The sequence below is a fragment of the Homo sapiens genome, chromosome 2 (genome assembly GCF_000001405.40).
Source record: "Homo sapiens chromosome 2, GRCh38.p14 Primary Assembly".
In the NCBI taxonomy this organism is placed as follows: Eukaryota; Metazoa; Chordata; class Mammalia; order Primates; family Hominidae; genus Homo; species Homo sapiens.
This window is the reverse complement of record NC_000002.12, coordinates 160,479,811-160,502,508: the sequence shown is the minus strand read 5'-3', so window position 1 is coordinate 160,502,508 and position 22,698 is coordinate 160,479,811. Positions and strand designations below refer to the sequence as shown.

General features: G+C 38.8%; 1 protein-coding gene across 3 annotated transcripts in view, besides 2 other annotated features; it reads left to right on the top strand.

The window, feature by feature from the left end:
• Positions 8,275 to 8,454: a silencer, noted in NCBI's record as "fragment chr2:161350566-161350745 (GRCh37/hg19 assembly coordinates)". NCBI's record gives its function as "represses an EF-1alpha promoter that drives an FKBP-Casp9 reporter gene in an ReSE screen in K562 erythroleukemia cells {active_cell/tissue: K562}" and the evidence as "EXISTENCE:reporter gene assay evidence [ECO:0000049][PMID:32094911]".
• Positions 8,641 to 9,161: an enhancer, noted in NCBI's record as "H3K27ac hESC enhancer chr2:161349859-161350379 (GRCh37/hg19 assembly coordinates)". NCBI's record gives its function as "activates a minimal SCP1, AML or CMV promoter by ChIP-STARR-seq in naive H9 embryonic stem cells {active_cell/tissue: H9 hESC(naive)}" and the evidence as "EXISTENCE:reporter gene assay evidence [ECO:0000049][PMID:30033119]".
• Positions 8,702 to 22,698, top strand: part of RBMS1 (RNA binding motif single stranded interacting protein 1) — a 221,657-nt gene continuing 207,660 nt past the window's right edge. For all 3 annotated transcript variants that reach the window (NM_002897.5, NM_016836.4, XM_047445368.1), the window contains exon 1: positions 8,702 to 9,220. In NM_002897.5, coding sequence (NP_002888.1) covers positions 9,146 to 9,220 — 75 coding nt within the window. In that variant the 5' untranslated portion in view covers positions 8,702 to 9,145. The remainder of the gene's footprint in view (positions 9,221 to 22,698) is intronic.

Here is a 22,698-nt window from a genome sequence, read left to right as displayed (position 1 = left end):
TTAATTTTTCGTATTTTTAGTAGAGATGGGGTTTCGCTACGTTGACCAGGCTGGTCTCAAACTCCTGACCTCAGGTGATCCACCCGTCTCGGCCTCCCAAAGTGCTGGGATTACAGGCATGAGCCACCACGCCTGTCCTTCTTTTAATTTTAACCACAACCCATATATCATTGCTGACTCTCAGGTCTGTCTCAATCTCTGACCTCTCCTCTTAGCTTTAGACTCACAGGCATGAGCACCTACTGAACACACTCAAATGTTCACTGGCATGTCAAAATCAGTAACACCCAACCCCTACAAAATACTTTTATATAAACATTCATTACAGCACTATTCACAATAGCCAAAAGGCGAAAACAACCCAAATATCCATCAACAGGTGAATGGATAAATGAATTGTGATATATACATGTATATTATATATTTAACATATATATGTGTGTAACAATATTATTCAGCCATGAAAAGGAATGAAGCACTGAAACATGCTACAAGCAGATACACCTGAAAAAAAACATTATGCTAAGTGAAAGAAGCCAGGCAAGAAAAGGTCATAGGTTGTATAATTCCATTTATATGAAATATCCAGAAGTGGTAAATCCATAGAAACAGAAAGCAGATTGCTGGTTACCAGGGGCTAGGAGGAGCGGGAAATGGGGAGTAACTGCTTAAAGAGTAATTTTCTAAATTAACTTCAAAGTAGCATACGATGTTTATTGTATGAGTAAGTAAGTAGACTAAGTAATAAGAATGTTTTCACCATATACATTATGGTGGTAGCCAGCCTCCAAGAGGATCTTTAATTTTGCTCACCCTAGTATTCACCTTTTTGTGTAGGCAGTGTCCCTTGCCACATGGTGACTAATAGAATATGGCAGATTGATGGTAAGTCATTTCTGAGATCAGGCTATAAAAGACACTGCAGCTTATGTCTCAGTCGATCACACCATCTCACACTCTCTCTCTGATCATTCACTCTGGAGACAGCCACTGCCATGTCAGGAGCAGTCTTGTAGAGAGAGGCTCATATAGAGAGAAGCTGAGGATGCCAGTCAACAGCCATATGAGTGAGCTTGGAAGCAGTTCCTCCAGCTCCAGTCAAATCTTCAGGTGACTACTTCACTGGTTAACAGCTTAATCTCATGAGAGACCCTGAGCCGGAACCCAGCTAAGCCACTCTTAAATTCCTGACCCTCAGAAACCATGTGAGATAATAAATGTTTGTTGTTTAAGCTGATAAATTTGGGGAATAACTATTCATCAGTAATAGATAATGAATACAATTATTAAACCTCCACAGTAACCATGGCAATTGTTTGGAACTCAGACCAACAAAATATTTTTTGAGGGTGTATACTTATTACTAATATTGTTTAGTGATAAAAAGTGTGCTCAGTGATAATGGAAAGCCAACAGATTTTTAGTTATTTTCTTATTGTTGTTACATTCTCCACAGACAATGCACTCCTTACTGCCTGTACCTAGAATGGATCAGTGACACTGCTTTTATACATCTTGGCTCTAGTTTAAGCCATTGTCACTTCTTCTCCAGAACAATTGCTGTTTCTGATTCTAGTCTCACTTATTCCTCTTGAATCTATCTACCATCTTGATGACAATGTATTCTTTCTAATCATAAATCTGACCTTGTAACTTAGATTGCAATTCAGATTTCATAAAACCCCTCAGTAATGCCCTTGGGTCAACAGAATAAAGCCCAGATGATTTATAAGGCTCTTTCTTTCTTTCTTTTTTTTTTTTGAAATGGAGTTTCACTCTGTCACCCAGGCTGGAGTGCAGTGGTGCCATCTCGGCTCACTGCAAACTCTGCCTCCCAGGTTCAAGCAATTCTCCTACCTCAGCCTCCCGAGTAGCTGGTATCACAGGCGCCCACCACCATGCCTGGCTAATTTTTGTATTTTTAATAGAGATGGGGTTTCACCTTTTTGGCCAGGCTAGTCTCAAACTCCCGACCTCAAGTGATCCGCCTGCCTCGGCTCCCCAAAGTGCTGGGATTACAGGTGTGAGCCACCATGCCCGGCCACAAGCCTCTTTCTATTGACTATGCTTAATATATTTTTAAAATTTCACTCATTGCACAGTGGTATTCTAATAAAGTTCTCATGATGTGGGCCCCTACTTAAGTATTTCCAGCTCCAGTCTCACTCACCTCTGCATGTACCTTAACAAAATGCATGTGCTATAACAAAATACCACAGAAATAAACTGTAGGAATTTATTTCTTACAGTTCTGGAGGTTGCCAGGTCCAAGATCAAGGTGCTGGCATTCAGTGTTTGGTGAGAGCCTTCTTGCTGCATCCTCACATGGCCAAGAGCAGAAGGGCAAAGTAGGCCCAAACTAGCTCCCTCCAGCCCTTTTATAAGTCACTAATCCATTCATAAGGGCAAAGCCCTCATGACTTAATCACTTCTCGAAAGGTCCCACCTCTTAATACCAACACAATGGGGATTAAGTTTCAACATGTCAATTTTGGGGCCATTCAGACCATAGCAGCATGTACTTGGCATTGTAAGTCACAATGAATGATTTGTAGATCTCCAGGCATACACTTTTGCACATACTCATCTTTTTGCCTATAATTCTCCAACTCTCCTCCAACTCTGCTCCTCCTCCATTCCAGTTGTGTTCTTATTTACTGAATGAATTCATATGATTGATGTTTGGAGAGAGGTTCAGACTGGGAACCGTGGGAGGGGTACTCGACCCAACCTGGTGGCTGAAGAAAGTCTGGATAGAACTGAGTCTTGTAGAAAGAGTAAGAATGAACCAGGTGAAGAAAGGTGAAAGGTGCCCTAGGCAAATGGATTAGAAAAGGCCACAGTTGGTCTTCCAACCCTCCAACACTTCCAACCCTCACCATACAACAATATGGTGAGGGTTGGAAGAAGCAGGCAATGGAAGGGAGGAAAGAACTCTGTGCCAAGAGGTAATATAGTGGAAATGAATCTGGAAAAATGGGAAGGGCCTGGTCAGGAAGGAAGTTATGAGTTGTGGTAAGAAGTATGAAGTCAATAGTGCTTCTCAAGCTCTGGTGGGGTTGGGGAACACATTCTGAGAATTTTAAAATGGTATGTTTCATTTTAATGAATTGTTTTTAAAAGCATATTACCATTTATAAAGAAAATATTTTTCTTTAGCAATGACATAAAAGATTTTAGTTTCTTAATTTAGGGCTTCACAAAGTAGGGTCTGACGATTAATATCTGAGGAACATCAGGCTAGAAGATTTATACATAAACATTCCTGCAGATTATAAAACAATTCCCTATTCATGATGAAACCTCATCGTAGATTATAAGTATTGGTTCCCTTTTACCTATGTTCTTACTTGTTTAACCCTCTAAGAATGCTAACATATATGCCAGCAACACTTTCATCAAACTACTGCCTTTCTGTTTAAGTGTTCAGTAAATGTATTGCAGATATAGCCTAGTTACCTACTATAGAAACAAGAATAGTAACCACTCAGTAATGTTCCAGGTTCTGCATAAGACCTTTCTCATGAACCTAAATCTCATTTACAATTCACTAATGCTGTAGCACGGGGGCTTTTTGTAGCAAAATGTCTCATTTTATCCAATTATTCCAACAGTCTCAGGCAGACGGCATTAGAACAAAGGCATTAATCAAAACTGATTTGTTTGGTCCACTTCTGATTAACTATAAAAAATGTTTATCTTTGGTTATAAGAGAAAACAGATTGTAGATCTTGGATGGACTAGCTCATGCCTCAAGGTTTTTAACTTGCTGCTTCTTCTGTAGGAATACAACCCTCCATTTTTTACTCCATAAAAAGTTCTTATGGCTGACCCATTTTTATTCATTATACTTCCTGGAAGAGGTTGTCCCCAACTACTTTACTTAGGATTCGTAACCCAACTCCCACAAAGTTACTCTCCCTCTATTATCCTGTTGCTTTCTTCATAGAGTTTATCACAACTTATCATTGTTTTACTGTCTCTCTCACGAGACTGTAGGCTCCGTGAGGCAGGCATCAAGTCTGCTGTATCCCCAATGTCCTGCACATAGAAGATGCTTCTTCAATGCTGGCACAGACGTCAATGTATAACTTCTTTCGGGAAAAAGCACTTAATGGGTCATGCTTTCCTAGGTCATCTTGGCACAAAGTTTTATTAAGATTCCTTCATGAGCTCCTTCCCACAAAAGTGCTAAACATGTAGTACATATTTTTAGAAAATTTGTCATTATTTAAAATTTTTAAGGCAAGCTGACTTTTTTTTTTTTTTAAAGAGAAATGGCTGATAGCTGACTCAGATCTGGGTATGAACCGTATAAGAACCTGGGACAATCTTATCATGCTAAAAAGCCAAAAGAAAAAAAAAAAAACTGTCAAGACTATTAGAGTCTGTTTTTTTTTTTTTCACATGAGGCAATTTGAAGGGGCTCCTATTGCCCAAAAATGGGACAATTTGAGCACCAACAAGAATAATGACTGCAATGGGTTGAAGCAATTCAAATACAGTACATTAAAATCCACAAATCCAGAATCTTACTTAAAACTAGTTAGCTTTGGAGTTTCCTAGGGCACCAACTCATTCTCCTAAAAATTGATAAATAGGAGAAATTTATCCTACCTTTCCTTTGCTACCTGTATTTTAAGTTAACCAAAGAGTTGAAGACAGAAAGTTCTTCTCCGTAGACAATTTCTAACTAGTAAGTGCAGAAGAAATTATAAAAGGAGAAAAACCACAATTTGTAACTCCTAATTTAAAAAAAAATGGATTGAGGTAAAACTCATGAATGTAGAAAAACATCCTGTGAATGGTTGATGGGGAACTTTATAATGAACAAGTCAGACTGATAATGCCTGAACTTCTGATCAACTTAACATCCCTAAAAATGAGACAACCAGACATTATGGTTTTCTGATGGGATACACATCACATCACATTCCCTATGTGTGTTCAGTACCATCTAGGAACTATTCTTTGTCAAAAAAATGTGAATCTGCATCTAATCAAACCTCTAGAACTAACCATCATTGCAAATGACACCATGAGGTTGCAATCAGCCATGCGGGAAATTCTGCAGGACAAATGACCCAAATCCTTTAACAAGTAAATATCAAATTTAAAAATGAATGGGGACAAACTTTTTTATTAAGAGAGTCTTAAGAGACATATCAACCAAATTTAATATGTGGACATTGTTTTAACCTGATTTAAATAGACAAACTACAAAAAACGATTTTTAGACAACAGTGGAAAATGAACAAGAATTGGGTATTAGCTCACATTAACAAATTATTGTTAAATTTTTTGGGTGTGACAATGGTATTATGTTTTAAAAAGTTATTTGTTAGAGGAAGGTAGTAGAATAGTTACTGGTGAAATATGATGCTTGGGATTTGCTTTGAAATACTCTAGAAAAATAAAAGTAAGTGTGTGTGTGTGTTTGTGTGTGTGTGAGACAGAGAAAGAGAGAAGAGGGAAGAAAAAAGAATGACAAAATGTTGATGAATGTTGAAGCTGGATGTTAGGAACAGAGGGTTCCTCTGCTTTTGTATTTGTTTGAAAATGATCATGCTTAAAATTAAAAGCTGATTTTGTTTTAAAATGTTTTCACATGAAATACAGCAAAAATACAAAAGAACTTATGAACATTAAAACAAAAGTATTGAAATGTAGTCTCATGTTATCAATAACCCAGAGCAAAACATCCAACATTACTATTTCTAGAGGTCTCCTTCGGCCCCTCCTTAAATACTTCATCCTTCTTCTTCCTAAGAGATACTGTTTTGAATTTTATGTTATTTTACTTTTGATTTTCCTTATAAAAGTTTTTAAAAACTACTCTTGCACCTATTCTTACATAACATACTGTTTAGTTATTTTTTCTGTTTTTGAACTTCATACAAATGGAATCATGCTTTATGCATTCTGTTGACTTGCCTTTTTCATTCAACATCAGTTTTGAAATGATCCATGTTGATGCTTTTAACTGCAGCTTATTCATTTCTGTTTCTGCAACGACTCCAATGTGTGCATATACTAAAACCTTTTTAATCCACTCTACAGTTGGTAGACATTTGAGTTATTTTCTGCATATTATGAACATTCCTGTATATTTCTCCTGGTGCACATATAAAATAATTTATTTAAGGTACGTACCTGTTACTGTGTTGTAGGAAACATGCAAATGAAATTCAGGAATGCCAAATTGTTTTCTAAAGTGGTGGTTAGACCAATTTATACTTCCTCCAGGAAGCAGTGTTTTCAGATTTCCCCCCTTCCACATTTTTACCTACTCTTAATATTTTTAGAGTTCTTAATTTTTGCAAATCCGGTGAATATGAAATGGTATAGTAGTATTATTTTAATTTGCATTTCTCTTATTACTAATGAACTTGAGCATCTTTTTATATGTTTTCTGAATATTTGTGCTTCTGTGAAATACACATTCATTCTTTTGTTCATATTCTAACAAGTTCTCTTTTTTTATTGATTATTTATACATTCTGTATACTAACCTTTTGTGTTATATGTATTACAGGTATTTAGTGGCTTTTATCGCTTTTTATAAAATCCTTCAATGAACCAGTGTTCTTAATGTTAACAGTCAAATCTGTCAATCTTACACTGTTGTTCCCCTTATTTAACCAATCTTTCCTATTTCAGGGTCAAAAAGGTATTCTTCTATATTGTCTTCTAACAGCTTTATACTTTTGTTTTTCACATCCAGGTCATGATTCACCTCAATTTTCCACCCTCCTCCCTTGGTATGTGTGAGGCAGGGCTCCCATTTCATTTTTTCCATATGATTGCCAGTTGACCCAGAATCATTTATTGAAAAGTTCATTCTTTCTCCACTGCGCTATAATACCAACTCAGTCATAAATCAAGTGTCTATACAAGTGTAGGTCTGCTTTTGGGCTCTCTAAAACAGGCTGAATTTCCATCATCCAGAAAAAACAGTAAGTAGAACAGTCTAAGTTTGGTAGTTTCCCTTATTACCTCAAACCTAGAACTTCTGCGATTGTTCTCGATTTACTTCTCTTCCTTCTGTCACTCTTCCAAACCATCATTCCTAGTCTTCCTAAAGCACAATTTAGTTCATGTCAGTTCCCTGTTTAAAAACATTAAAAGGCCCCACATTGAAACAATATGGGAAATATTTTAGGCTCCCCTAGTCTGACAGTGACCCATTCCACTTTTCAGGTCTGCATGCACCTCAACAGTGCCTACAATATAGCAGACATAGTAAATATTAGCTTCCTTATAGGCTTTTACATAGGTAAATGAGAGGGACATGATTTGCCTCCTGGCAGAGCCAAAATGTTCTCACCTATACTTATATTTATTTTGTTTTTGTCAAACATGTAAGATCTAGAAATTTGTCTAAACCATAGAACGATTATAAGGGTTTCAGGTCCTTATTTTGTCATTGTTTTAAAGTATCTTACTAAACCTATTTTAAAATGTTATCATATAAAAATAATAACTGTTTAACAAAATAATGCATTCCAGTTGAGTTTAATTTACCTTGTGCTATTAACAAAAGACTCTTCAAAAACCAAAATGACAAAGTAAACAAGGTCTATTTAATAACAAACACAGTTTTTTATTACATTTTATTAGATGTGCCGGAACCCTAATTTGAGGATGCTTGCTTACCTATGCTATCCGTATGTACATTTTGGTATTAGCTCTCTTTTTGAGCTGGAATATAAAAGTCTTCTGCAGGCAGCTTCGGGGACCAATTAATTCCATTAAATTATATCTAGTTATGTAGTGAACTGAACCACTGCTGGTCTGAGGCTGTCTAGAGCTGTGACAATTAGGAGATGGAGAGAGGCAGAAAGAGAGATTGATTTTATATGTCACTGAAGCACACTGCAACAATATGCCAGCGTGACTTTCAAAATGGCCTTAAAATATTCCAAACTCAGGGAGTTTCCTTGCTCCTGAGTGGGAGTTGACAGACTGTCTGGCAGCATTAGAAAGAGGCAGAGAAAAGCTGATGTCTATATTGTGTCCTCTAATAACATTCTGCCTCTTTGCGGCATCCCCCTCTTAGAAGGATCCGTCTATATGTTGTGAGGGGTGTGTGTGTGTGTGTGTGTGTGTGTGTATGTATGTATGTGCTTTGCCTCCCCTTGTGCAAGGGGCATGATTTCACGTCTCACATCTGGGAAAACCAAACCGAAGGACGCTAACCCTCCCAAGGTCACCTAGATTAGTCTTGTGGCCCCGGGTCGGGGGTGGGTGGGAGGAACAGAACCCAGGTGTCCAGACTCCAGCTTTGTTGGGCATTAAATCATTTTCCTTCCCTTGTGAAAAAAAATTACTGGGCGGTGGGAAGTGAACGATTAATCAGATTTCCTCTTTTCCCTTATTTCCCCTCCCCCTTACGAAGATAAAAACTCGGGAAAGCAAAAGAGGTGCCCGCCCTGCAGTTCTTAAGCTGGGTCCCCCCGCATTCCCCCTCCACCCCCACTCCCACTCCCATTTCCCCACCCCCGACACAAAGCGATCTGGACTCACAGGGCTTCCGCCCGTCCAACCGCGAGCCTGGGAGGTGAGGAGTGGTTAAAACTCAGCCCTCACCTCCAGCGGGTCCCGGGCTCGGCGGCGCCCAGGCCCCGCCCCCGCCCGCCCTTCCCCCACGGCCTCGGAACGCCAGCCCCTCTCCTCTCTCCACATCGGGCGCACCCACCCCAGATGCCGCCTGGCACCAAGCGCAGCCGCCGCTGCCGCACTTTCCACTTGTATTGATCACCTCTCAGCCCCGCGCAGCCGGCTCGCCCGAGCGGACCGCGGCCAGCGCGCCAGCCCTTGGCAGCCCCGGAGCAGTCGGGCTCCGGGAGGAAACTCCTTGGGAGCGCCCTGTCCGGGGTGCCCTCTGCGCTCTGCAGTGTCTTTCTTTCTGCCTGGGAGGAGGAGGAGGAGGAGGAAGAGGAGGAGGAGGAGGAGGAGGAGGAGGAAGAGGAGGAGGAGGAGGAGGACGTCTGGTCCCGGCTGGGAGGTGGAGCAGCGGCAGCAGCAGCAGCCGCCGCCGCCGCCGCCGCTGCCGCCGCCGCCGGAAAGGGAGAGGCAGGAGAGCCCGAGACTTGGAAACCCCAAAGTGTCCGCGACCCTGCACGGCAGGCTCCCTTCCAGCTTCATGGGCAAAGTGTGGAAACAGCAGATGTACCCTCAGTACGCCACCTACTATTACCCCCAGTATCTGCAAGCCAAGGTAAAGGGGCGCCGGGGAGAGGTGACGGCCGGAGGAGGGGGCCCGGGGACGCGCGCAGGGTCAGGCCTGGGGAGGGGGGCGCGCGGCGAACCCCCGCCACCGCCGGGCGGAGTTGCTGGAAGGTTGCTAACTATAGCGCTGGCCTGGGCAGAGCCGGGCGGCGCGCGGGGCGGCGGCTTCCCTGGGAGCGGAGTGCGGGGATCGGGTTACAGAAAGCCGCGGGGGGAGAGACTAGACAGGAAAGAGCCACCAGCCCCTTCCTGGCCCGGCCAGCGGGGAGGGTCGTGGGGTCGAGCGGCGCCCCTCGCCGAGCCCTGGCTGGCCGGCGGCCGTCGCCTGGTGTGCGCGTCTGGATCCGCTGGTGGCCCGGCTTTTCGACCCCTTCTCCAAGGGCCTCGCCCTGTAAGCTGTAACTCTTCGCTCCCCTCGCCGTGGCGCGGAGCCTCCCGCCCCCCAGGGACGCCCCTCCACCTCCCGCGCACGCGATGACTGGGGCTGGAGGGGCGGCGGGGCCGGGATATTTTCCTCCCCGCCTCCGGCCCTGAGCGCCCGCCCCTCGCCTCTGATCTTTGTGCGGTGTGGCACTTCACCTGGTTACTGATTTCTACTTTTACGCTGGTGTTTTGGGTAGAAAAGTGGCCAAAGTTCACTCGCGTTCATTGATGTCCCTTCTAATCTCTAGAGGTTTTGCAAAGGAGGGACAATGGGCAGATTTCAGTGCAGAGAAAGAAGTGACTTCGTATTTGGTTAAAAAAGAAACAAAAACAAAACTAGCTTATATGTTTGCCACAGATCGATTTCCAATGTTGCTTTTTAAAAAGTGACCTCGGCACACTCTTGGGTAACAACAGTTGATGACATGTAGCCATACAAATTGCGCCTGGCTTTCTAGGGACCCTGGGTACTTTGTTAGTGGGCCTATCTTATTTTTACAATAAGAATTTGATGCCTCCCGAACTCATTTAAAAAAATTATTTGGGCCATGAAGACTGGAAATTTCACTGCTTTGGAAGCAGCCGCCAGAATTTGGGAGGGTGGAAGTTGGACGCAGCAGCCTTCTTCAGCCATTAACATCTATCACAACTCTGGGTGCCCTTCTAGATCACAAAAGAATCAGGTATGGATGCAGTGTCCGAACTTTCTTTGGGAGGTTGTAATCATGCTCTGCTTGCTGGTAGTTGGGCATTTCCGGCCTGGTACAAAGAATCTCTGATTCAGCCTTTTCTTTCTTAGAATGTGTGTGGTCCACGTTTTCATGTACTTACGACATAGCCCTGTATTTGTCTACGTAAAAAGGACACTTGTCAGTTTCGAGACCAGAAATGTCCTAGCAATCCCGGGCCTCATTTTCACTTCCCCCAATTCCCACTTTACTTTGGGTCACCAGAAAGCAGCAAGATGGTAGCAGCAAGGATACCCCTTATTCATCTCTGTGTAGTTCTCACAGTATTTGTTTTAGGAACTTGCAGGAGATGCTAGTTTTCTGTGAGCTACATGGTAGCTGTTCAAAGAAATTTTGTGGCATAATCAATGCACTACCTTTTAGATATCTTATATATTTAATGCACTTGTTTAAATTATGCAGCATTGGGTGCCTAAAGGACAGCTTATTCAACACTTAACAATATGAATAATAAATACACCCACTCAGGTGAGGAAGAAAAAAAGCCATGTTTCTACAGGCACATTTACCTTAGTAATTTTTATATACCATTAGTAAGTTAGAAACCAAGTCCATACCATTTAATGTAGCTAATGCAATGCCATTTGGCTTTTTTGCCCTGTAAATAATTGAAGAGAGAGACAAACGGCAAGAGCCTGCTCTAGTAATTAGGGTCGGATCCCAGAAAGCTTTACGGCCCATTTTCTGAAAGTGTGCTTCCTGCATAAAGCATTTAATATTGATTTGTGTTGCGGTAAATGACATTCTCAAAACATTTTGCTAATTCTACAATTAAATCTGAAATCCTATTATTCGGAATTCCTTTGTTTCTGGAGAAAGGTATACATACTCACTTGACCTATATAACATGGTATTAAAGTTTGGTAATTAAGTCTAAATTCCCTGTTGTACAAGTATCTTGATTATCTCAGAAGGGGACATCTTCTAAAAATGGCACGTGACTAGATGCAAATTTTAGGTAAGCAGAGTTCGGAACAGGCAGCCCTTTTTTTTTTCTCTCCCTTATGTATCTGTTGGTAGCATGGTAGTAATGTTGAATCATTTAAAAAAAAAAAGACTTTGATTTGTAGTTAGTTTAAAAACAAGTGTTGCCTAATCTACCTAAAGAGTTAATAAACTCTCTTAGGATCTGCTGTCTGTCATGATTCTTGCCTCTGTGTGTGCTTTAACCTTCCGAAAATATGGGATAGAAAACATCACTCTGTTTAAAGTACAGTGATGTGTTTGCTAGGCAGAGTCATTTTGAAACTTCTGTTTGGAAGCTATATCAAAAACTGAAGAATGGCATGGTCATCTAAAAAGTGATAGCTAATTTGTACTCAAGAGATAGATGTGATTTTCTCAAATCTAATTCTTTTAATCAGAAGGAACAGATAATACCAGGTAAAATGGAACTTAACAGTTTGTTTTGTTACCATACTTTTAAAAGTTATATATGCCAAACCATTCTTCTTGTTTTAGTGATCCAGTCTATTTTGGTAAACTTATTTTGTAATTTTCCCCATAAAAACATACTAGTTACTTCCACATTTTATTAATAAAAAAATACCATCCGTTGGGCTATATTGGAGCAAATGACCATATTGGTATGCTTTGTACTTTGACAGAAAGAAAAAAAATCATTAGAAAAAGTAATATGTCTCCATGAAATGTAAAATAAACTTGAGTGTACTATGGAAGAGCAGGACATGAGTGGAAATGAATGAGATTGTATAATATTCATAATACCTTGGTGTAGAGTTACATAAATTTCAAGTAACCTGATTTCACATGCTGTTGGTTTTTTGTTTTTTTTTTTTATTTCTCAGTGAGGATGGTCTTATCACAGCAGGTTCTTTTTATCAGCTGACACATTCATTCTGAAATGTAGCTTGATGTAGCTTTATAAACATAACCACATATTGTCCTAAATAATTTTCTCAATTTTAAAATGACCTATGCTGTATTATATTAAATTTAATATCCATCTTTTAGCTACACAGAAAAAAGATGTTGATAATCTAACATATTTTAACTTAAAGATTTGTATGTACACATTTTCAACCAGTGGCTGCATTAATTTCACTTATTGTAAAAGCAACCCTTGAATTATGGTCTGTTTATTTCAAAGATACTACAACATACATTATTGCCAGTGCATGTATGTAAATAGTTATGGGGATTGAAATATTCTGTTTCTTTTGAAGAAAGGGAAGTACAAAATTTTCTTTCCATGATTAGTTAGCTACATATTTTGTACCAACTGAAAGCAATTTGGGACAGTTGTAATCTTTATTCACATAGTTCTAAGAATATATTTCTATAAAATTAATGGAAAGCTTGATTTTTTTAAGTTTTTGTGTATGAAGAAGTATTGTTTTCCATGCTGAAGAAATGTCTATACGAAAGATACGTTTCTTTCTAAAACAAAACAATTTTGTTTTTACGCCATTTTTACATACGCTTATGACACAGAATATATCTGAACCTAGCTTCAGAATCTGAAAATAATAAATGATATAATTTATTCTATTAATAAAGGCTAGTAGAACAAAGCAGTTTTTCTGCATTGAACTTTTGCATGCATTTTTTATTGAATTCCTTAACTCTTACTTACTTCTAGCCAAATGAATATTGTATCAATCTGTTTCTCCAGAAATTAGTAGTCCTGATTTGATACATAAAACTGTTGCATCTAATGAAGTGGAAGTACACAGGCATAATATTCAGACATGGGGCGCTTTGTGTCATAAGAAGTAACCACATTTATGATGTAAATAAAGTTTGCTTAAAATATGTCAGTTTGGTAATGCAGTATTTTACACTGATGAATCAACCTTATTTCCTTAAGTGAGTGGGGTATTATGTATGACTATCTGGAAGTGGTATTGAAAGGCTGAAGGACATGTAACTATTAAAATGAAGATGCATTACAATGCAACAGTGTAGCACCCTTCTCTTCCAACAGCTATTTCTTTTGAATTTCCCATACAACTTTTTGTTTTTTCCCCTATGTTGGGAGCCAAATCTTAAGTTCCTTGAAGGGAAAAGGAAAAGATAGGTGAGCTAGGAAAGTATTCAGTCATTTAGTATCAGTATAACTACATACACCTTACATCTTAGGCAATCTTGGCTTTGAGTTTAAATTCAAATGTGGGGAATTTCCATGTAATATACATTCAAGAAAAGAATTTTTACTAATATATTGCTCTGACTTTGTATTTTTAATAGTTTATTGAAACCATTTCGGCATCTAGCTTTTAAATTGAGACAGTAAAGTTTTATCCTATTTATTGGAATATTATAGAAATAATAGAATATTATAGAAATAGGAGTATGTCAAGTTACTCTCAAGTGGAAGTGTTTTATGCAATCTAAAATAGCTTATTTTAAAGAAATGTAGTAATGACCTGTCAGTTGTTCAAATGCAGCACCATAACATTTGGTATAAAACCAAACCAAATATTCAAAAGTTGAACATCGGCTTGGGGATTTTATGTGGGATGAATTTAAATGTTCTGTTTCCTCTGCTGTTTTATTTATTTATTTTTGAGATGGAGTCTTGCTCTGTTGCCCAGGCTGGAGTGTGGTGGCACGATCTCGGCTCACTACAACCTCTGCCTCCCAGGTTCAAGCAATTCTCCTGCCACAGCCTCCCAAGTAGCTAGGACTACAGGCGCGTGCCACAATTCCTCCCTAATTTTTGTATTTTCAGTAGAGACGGGGTTTCACTACGTTGGCCAGGCTGGTCTTGAACTCCGGACCTCGTGATCCGCCGCCTCAGCCTCCTTTCAAAGTGCTGGGATTACAGGCATGAGCCACTGCGCCCAGCCTCTGCTGTTTTATTTTAATGAATAAATAATGAAACCTGATGGAACTCAGCTGTGCCTCATGAGAGGCAGCAATGGGACGATGGAGGTCTACCATAGGTAGTTTGGTTAGGTGATACAGAGCAAAATGTAATTTTAGAACAAATGGTGTGTGTTGAACACACACACACAAATTTGAGTACATATGCAAATTTGATAATAGAAACAAAGCATTTCTTAGTCTGGTAGATATGAGGTCAATAGAAGAGTGTAGAGAGGATGGTAACAGCTAAGCCAACCACAAACTGAACATATATCTCCCATAATCTAATTCCTCAATGCATCTAGTCTCCTTAACAAAATTATGTGAATATTTTAATTTTTCAAACAAGCCCTGGAAAATAAGCATGTCAAAATGATGAGAGAAAAACAAAAAGGAGAGAGAAAAAATCAACATCTGAACCTCCTAGGGGAGAAAAGTGTATAAAATTAAGCATTGTTATTCTCTCCCCATGTTGTCTCTTAACTAATTCTTAAATGGATGCATTTTAGAAGATTGAGAATATGTTGGACATTGAATATGAAAACCTAGATTCTAAAAGTGAGGTTGGATGCTGATATGAACAGTTAGCTTGCATGTAGATCTGGCACTGTAAACATGCTAAATCAATGTTGGTGGGTGATTTCCTACATTCACTATAATATCTGTGTTTTGGATTAGGTAAAGATTTAAGCTGGTAGTTGTTGTAAAATTGCTGAGGCTCATGATGAAGGACTAAAACACTAGCCAATCAATTGTATTTACTGAGTGACCCCAGTACATCATTCTTTGCACTTGACATTGGGAAAGTTTAAAGAGTTGAATATCTGGTACCTGCTCTCCAGCACCTCACAAGCTACCAGGGAGGACAGAATAGACACAAGGCAAGAAATAAGCACAGAATATTTACAAAGTAGTGCACCCACGAAAGCAGCACACCAGCTGATGTCCTGGGTTTTAGTGACTGAGAAGGCACTAAGATATATGTAGGATTAAACACTTTGCCATGTCTTTTGCAAGAAAGTGAAAAGTGCTAATAAAAGCTACAATAAATCTGGGAATTTTAGAAAGACATAAGGCTTTAAATGAATAAATGAATTTTTTTACTTACCAGCATTGTTTTGCATTTTTTCTGCTGTATAAATTCTTTTAAGAGTACTTAGAATTTTAAACGAATAATTTTTTTGTACTTTATGTTAACTTCTCCTTAAAGTTTCATATTCAATTAATTTATTTCACCCTATTATTTTTCTAGTTTTATGCTTACAAATGTGCTGTTAAGCCAACCTATTAGAGGTGTGGCAGGTTGGAAATGTACTCCTTAAATGATGGCATAGTGGTTATACAGAAATATAACTTTGATTGTTTTGAGCCATTTGGAATGATGTTTATTTCTCCTAACTGATTAGCTTTGCTTCCGGCAAAGGGGAGGAAATAAGTTTGGGGTTTGTAATGCTGCTAATTAGATCATTGCTTGCCTGCAATCTACACATTTATAATGTGTCTAATGTGGGCTGGCATTTCTTCAGAAAATAAGATGTTAAAAAATTATTCCTGATCTTTAGTGGATATCTCTTTATCTGGTCATCAGCCAGCTTTAATTCTTTCAAAATAAGATATTCACCTCTGCAACTGGATCCAAGTGCTTCAGGAGTCCTGTTGTCCTCTACTTGGCCTCAATATGGGCCCTGGAATCCATTCCTCAGGCTGCCCATTGAACAACATGCGCTATGCAGTTGGGCTGCTGGGTCCCAGATAAACAGTGATTTCAGGGAAAGGTTTTGTGCAACAAAATGAGATCATTTCATAGATGTCATAAATATTTTCACTGGTCCTGAAGGAAAAATGCATCATCTTCCCAGACCCATTTCACACAATACTAGAGGTGTTTCTTCTACAAGTTGAAAAACTGAATACTTAGAATGGCAGAATTGGATGGATACATCATAGAATGCCATGCTCCGAACTTGAGTTTCTTGGACTGGGGGTGGGGGGTGGAGGACAGGGAATCAAATTGCGAAAACAGAATTTTATATTATGAGCTTACATTTATATTATCCTCAAATAATACTATACTATTTCCCCTGTTAAATACTTTTTAAACATGATGATTTTGAGTTGCAATTGGGAGTATATTTGAATTGGAGAACCCCTAAACCCTCCCTTACCAGTAGAATTACAATGAAATACTTTCACAGTTTATATAATAAGGTCTCAGATAAAATATTTAGTCATTAGGAAAAGTAAATTATATTGATATTTGTAATATCGTCAACTTTACCTTTGTCTTCTCAACAACAATTTCGTTTCATCATCCAACAGGTTTTTGACAAATGCAGACATTTATAAAAAGAAAAATTTGCCAGAAAAATGTATTTTCAAGTCACTAGCTGAAATACTCCCACGACTCTCTTTGCCTCCTACAAAGTACAGCTCTGATTAATTTCATTGTTTCTAAAATGACATTCTTTTAAAAAGGTGCCTAATCTCAGCCTCTTTTTAGGTTTCATTCCATATGATCATTTGTATACTTCTATTTAAAAAACAATAAACACAGAAAGAATTACCTATCAGAGAACTGGCTACTAGATGATGTTTTTCTCATGCTCTATGTGATTTGTTCAAAAATTGGGTATACCTTAACTTATAAGTGAGTTGCATTTCCAACAATTTTATTCCAAACAGTTCGCTTGTCATTTGGTTATTTAAAACTTGAAATTCATTTCATAAATAAATAGTTATCCTTAATGATATGGTCCCCAGCGAACCTGTAAGAGTCTGTAAAAGTAACCCACTTTATAATTCACGTATAGTTCTCTACTAACACTGCCATTGAACCAAATCACCACATCAGATGTTTCTTGGAGAGAGGGGTGAGTTTTCAGAGTTAGATTTCCAGGAACTCGTCTTTGCTTTCTTTGGGTGAGTGGGAAGACAGGGTTCTTCTACAATCTTTCAACAAGGCTTTGCCCTTTTATGGCAGGGGAGGGGTTTCAAGAAGATGGGAGGTGCAGCTTGTGAAGTCACAGGGATCAGGGAGTTTGTGCTGGAGCTTCCTCTGGGGGTCCCCTGAGAGCCCTCTTCACTTCTAGACCCACTCACCTGTTTTCTTGTGCTGGCCTCAGAGATAAACTCGTTCCCTTTTCCCCCTAATTAAAATAAAATCTTTTCCTTTTAAGAGCCGAGGGTTCCTAGTACTGCTTCTCATGCTGAGCTTACCACTACTAGATTACTACAGCCTCACAGCTTTTCTTTACTCTCCTTCAGCCCTGAATCAAGCAAACATCTCTTGAGGCTGGCAACCAGAAGGAAACAAAAAGACAAAGTAAAAATTCTGTCTATCTCTTCCAATTCTCTTTTTACCTTTTCCTGGTTCGTTGATGCTTCGTAAATTTTTTTTTTTTTTTGAGACGGAGTCTTGCTCTGTCGCCCAGGCTGGGGTGCAGTGGCACAATCTCAGCTTACTGCAAGCTCCGCCTCCCGGGTTCACGCCATTCTCCTGCCTCAGCCTCCTGAGTAGCTGGGACTACAGGCGCCCGCCACCATGCCCGGCTAATTTTTTGTATTTTCAGTAGAGGCGGGGTTTCACCATGTTAGCCAGGATGGTCTCGATCTCCTGACCTCGTGATCCGCCCGCCCCGGGCCTCCCAAAGTGCTGGGATTACAGGCGTGAGCCACCGCGCCCGGCCAATGCTTCGTAACTTTTTAGGGAATCCCCAGACCCTAGACCTCCTTGAGAATCCGATGATGGCGTACATTTTTTTGTTGTTGTTGTTGTTGTGACGGAGTCTCGCTCGCTCTGTCGCCCAGGCTGGAGTGCAGTGGCGCGATCTCGGCTCACTGCAAGCTCCGCCTCCCGGGTTCACGCCATTCTCCTGCCTCAGCATCCCGAGTAGCTGGGACTACAGGCGCCCGCCACCACGTCCGGCTAATTTTTTGGATTTTTAGTAGAGGCGGGGTTTCACCGTGTTAGCCAGGATGGTCTCGATCTGCTGACCTCGTAATCTGCCCGCCTCGGCCTCCCAAAGTGCTGGGATTACAGGCATGAGCCACCGCGCCGGCCTATGGCGTACATTTTTATTAGCCTCAAATGTTTACCTAGAATCAGCCTGTGGAGCACAGGTTAAGAATCTTACCCAGGGTGGGGAGCAGTGGCTATGCCTATAATTCCAACACTTTGGGAGGCCGATGGGGGAGGATTGCTTGAAGCCAAGAGTTCCAGACCAGCCTGGGCAACATAGTGAGACACCGTCTCTTAAAAAAAAAAAAAAAAAAGAATTTTATCCTGGAAGGAAGACAAATACTGAACAAATCTATGCTTAAGAGGATGAATCAGACAGACCAGAGATCCCTTCATGTTTTTTTTCTGGGTTGTAGCTCAACAGACTCTGTGATGAAGAGCTGCACAAAAGCCAGTGTCCTGCAGAGTGGGCTTGGGTGGCATGAGGTCCATACCCCTATCCAGCAAGGGTCTGAACAGTTTCAAAGTGTGTTTACTTTCTCTCTTCTTCACTCCTGTTCTCCAATTTGCTTCTTGTACTCTTAGAGTTAAGCCACTCTGGACTGACTTCTGTCCACTAACAGGTGTGTGTGATAGTGGTAGATGCACCAGTGTGACCATCGTATAAGCTACTCCCACTCCATCTGCCGGAATCAGGGACCAAGTGGGTCTGACAAAATTTGGCTAAAAAATCTTTACTACCTCTTAATGCTGTAGATTATGATTAAGTATTTGCTAACAATTGCCCCTGATTTGGGTTTTCTCTTCTGATTCTTTATCCAATTTTATATGGAAATTTTAAATAAAATTTTATTTGGTAACGTATAAGTGTGCTATGGAACCATAGACATGATGTAATACTTTGAACAAAAGTACTTAATTAGCATAATAGGAAGTATTTTTATGATAAATGTATACTCCTAATGAGATTGAAACTTAAATGTGATAAAGTCAAATAGCAAGCAGTTTACATTTTTTTCTTAACCCATACTAAAATTGAAAATTACTTATAACCATTTTTTCTACTTTTTGAATACTAATTATTCTTTACCTAAAAAATAATCACAAAAAAGTTGTGTTTTTTCAATTGGCAAAAACCTAAAAAAAGATGTGTTTCTTATTTGGTAATTGTTTATCAGACTTTAAGTTTAGCAGAAGAAATCTTTAACCTTGATTTTGTTTGCTTTTTTTTTTTTTTAAGAGAGATTATTTTTTAACCTACAAATAGGATTTAAAATGACAGTGGGTGATATCTGGTGTTCTTTTCTACCTCTCTCTGTCTCTGTCACAAAATTCAAATACATGTTTCAGCAGTACAGGATGTTCTTCAGTACACATCCTTTGAGCCTTCAAAATTTGATTTGACTGTGTGGTCTGACGATAGCATGTTGAGATAAGTACATTGTGATAGTAATCTGTGCCTGAGCCCTAATGAGCATCTGCTTTCTAGGGCGCCACAACAGCACCTTTCTTTGTTTCCTCTTCCTTTGCTTCTTTGATTTGAATCTTGTTAAATCCTGCAAATGGGTCATTTTTGTTTGTTTTTCAGTATGCAAATCCTCCTAGCTCCCTTTTTTGGGGAAAAAGAAGCCAGATATTTTAAATATAAGTGAATGCACTGGGAATTTTAAAGGAGTCTTCAGGAAGTGCACAGCCATAGTTCTTCTATTAGCAAATCAGACATATTATTCTAAAAATCATCTAGTTAAGTTGATACAAATGGAAATACCTGGTCAGTTTAATTAAATTCAGTAAATACTTACTGTCCAGGCATGGTATTAGGCCCTGGAAGGTGTGATATGTAATTAAAACATAGTGTGCATCATCACAAAGTGCAGTGGAATAATTTTATTTGTTTATTTAAAACTTATATAGTGCACAAATTTTAAATCTGTAGGTTGATATACTCATGTAATAACCACTCAGGTGATGATATAACATTTCCAGAACCAGACAGCATCCTCACTTGTACCCACTAAAGGTAACTACTAGTGTGACTTCTATCTTTGTTGGTTGGTTGTATCCATTCTTGTACATCATAAAGATGAAACCATATTGTATGTATCCTTTTCTGTCTGGCCTCCTTAGCTCCTTATTATTTTGGTTTGAGTCATTGATGTTGTTATGTGTGCAGTTGGTTCTTTTTTTAATGCTATGTGTATTGGATTACAGGATATATTGTATCAAAATTTATGTATCCATTATATTATTAATGAGCATTTGGATTATTTCAATTTAAGACTATTTTGAATACAATTACTGTAATTGTCTTGTTCATATCATGTGTTCAACATATGCACTTACTCCTAAGAGAGGAATTTGTAGGTCATAGGATATGTGTATGTTCAGCTTGGGTAGACACTACCAGTTTTCTCCTGCCAGCAAGGCATGAGAAATCTAATTGCTCTATGTCCTCACTAAAACTTGATATTGTCAGTCTTTTAGTTTTAGCCCTTCTGGTGAGTGGATATCTCATTGTGGTTTTAATTTGCATTTTCCTGATGATTAGTGATGTTGAGCACTTTTAAAAATATATTCATTGGCCAATTAGATATCCTCTTTTGAGAAGTCTTTTGCAAATTTTTTGATCATTTTTTAAAAATAACAACTTTATTGGGATATAATTTACATACCATGCAATTCAACTTTTTGTTCACTTTTTAAATTGGGTTGTCTTTTTTATTGGTTTGTAGGTTTTAAAATATATTTTGGATACAATCCTTCATCACACATATGTATGAAAATATCTTCCCTTAATTTTCAGTTTTCCTTTTTACTCTCTGATTGATAGTTTTAATAAATATAAGTTCTTAATTTTAATGAAGTAAAATTTACCAATCTTTTATGATAATTGCTTTTCGTGTCTGTTTAAGAAATCTGCTTACTTTAAGATTGTGAATTTTTTTCTTTTTTTTTTTTACATTTCCTACTAGAAGCTGTGTTTTATCTTTCACATTTAGGCCTGCAATCAATTTCCAATTAATGTTTGTGTTTGGTGTGGATAGCATCAAGATTTGTTATTGTTGTTTGTTCCACCTCGCCCACCCCCGGTGCCCCAGTATGGCTGTTAATGATCCAGCCCAATTTATTGAAAAGACATTTCCTTCTTTGAATTTCATTGTTGCCTTTGTTGTAAACTAGGTGAACATGTTTGTGTGGTTCTTCTTCTGGACTCCTGCTTTTTTTTTTTTTTTTTTTTAAGGCAGTCTCACTCTGTTGCCTAGGCTGGAGTGCAGTGGCGTGATCTAGGCTCACTGCAACCTCTGCCTCCCAGGTTCAGGCAATTCTCATGCCTCAGCCTCTTGAGTAGCTGAGATTATGGGTGTTTGCTACCATGCCTGGGTAATTTTTTTGTATTTTTAGTAGAGATGGGGTTTCGGTATGTTGGCCAGGCTGGTCTTGAACTCCTGGCCCCAGGTGATCCGTCACCTCGGCCTCCCAGTGGATTCTTGCTCTGTTTCATATGTATCCTTGTGTCAATACTAATTACTGTAGCAATATAGTAAGTGCGTATTCTCCAAAGTGGTCTTAACTATTCTAGGTTCTTTGCATTTCCTTATAAATTTTAGCATCGGCTTGTCAATTTCCATAAAAATAAATCTGCTAGGATTTTTACTGGAATCATACTAAATCTATACATCAATTGGGGGAGAATTGATATATTAACACTAATGAATCTTCCAAACTTTAAGGATGGTATATCTCTTATTTATTTATGAATTTACCCCTTTAAGTAATTAATAATAAAACACAAAAGTTATTGTTTTAAGTACTTGTTTCTTAAATACATCCAATGATTTCTTCAAGATCTGTATTATGGTAGTTGGCATAGGTTCTATGAAGAAAATAATTCTTTTGAAGAGAGAGAGTATGTTTGTTATCACAGATCAAAATTAATTTTGAAAAGGAGCTTGCCACTGAAACCTACTCTTTAAGAACAGATGACGTTCTTTTTAATTTTTCTTGCATGCATGTCAAAATATAACTGTATTTCCCCTTTATACTCTTTATTCTCTTTGTTTATTTGATGGCTTTGTTTATTTGATGTTGTTGTGACACCCCATCACCCTGCCTTATATGTTTATAAACATAATAATAAATTGAAAATTAGTTTTTTTTGGAGGATTTTCTGACATCCCTTATGATTTTTTAATATGCCCCTGATATTGTGAAAGCAAAGATTGGGAATTGCTGCTTAGATACCAACTTCTAAGCAATAAAACATGCTGCTCAATGGGCTTCAGTTCCTTCAAATCTTTTCTTAAATGTTTCAAAAATCTTATATATATATGTATTTTTTTCATGCTTTATATTGAAAGTTTTAAGCTTTGATTATTGCCATATTCAGCTAGCCAAAAACAACTACATAGAACCTTCAAAGCGTATTAATTCTGGCTAGGTTAGCCTAGGTTGAGTAGGAGGTTGAATAGATGACTTCTGAAGTTCCTTCAACTCTAAATTTTATGA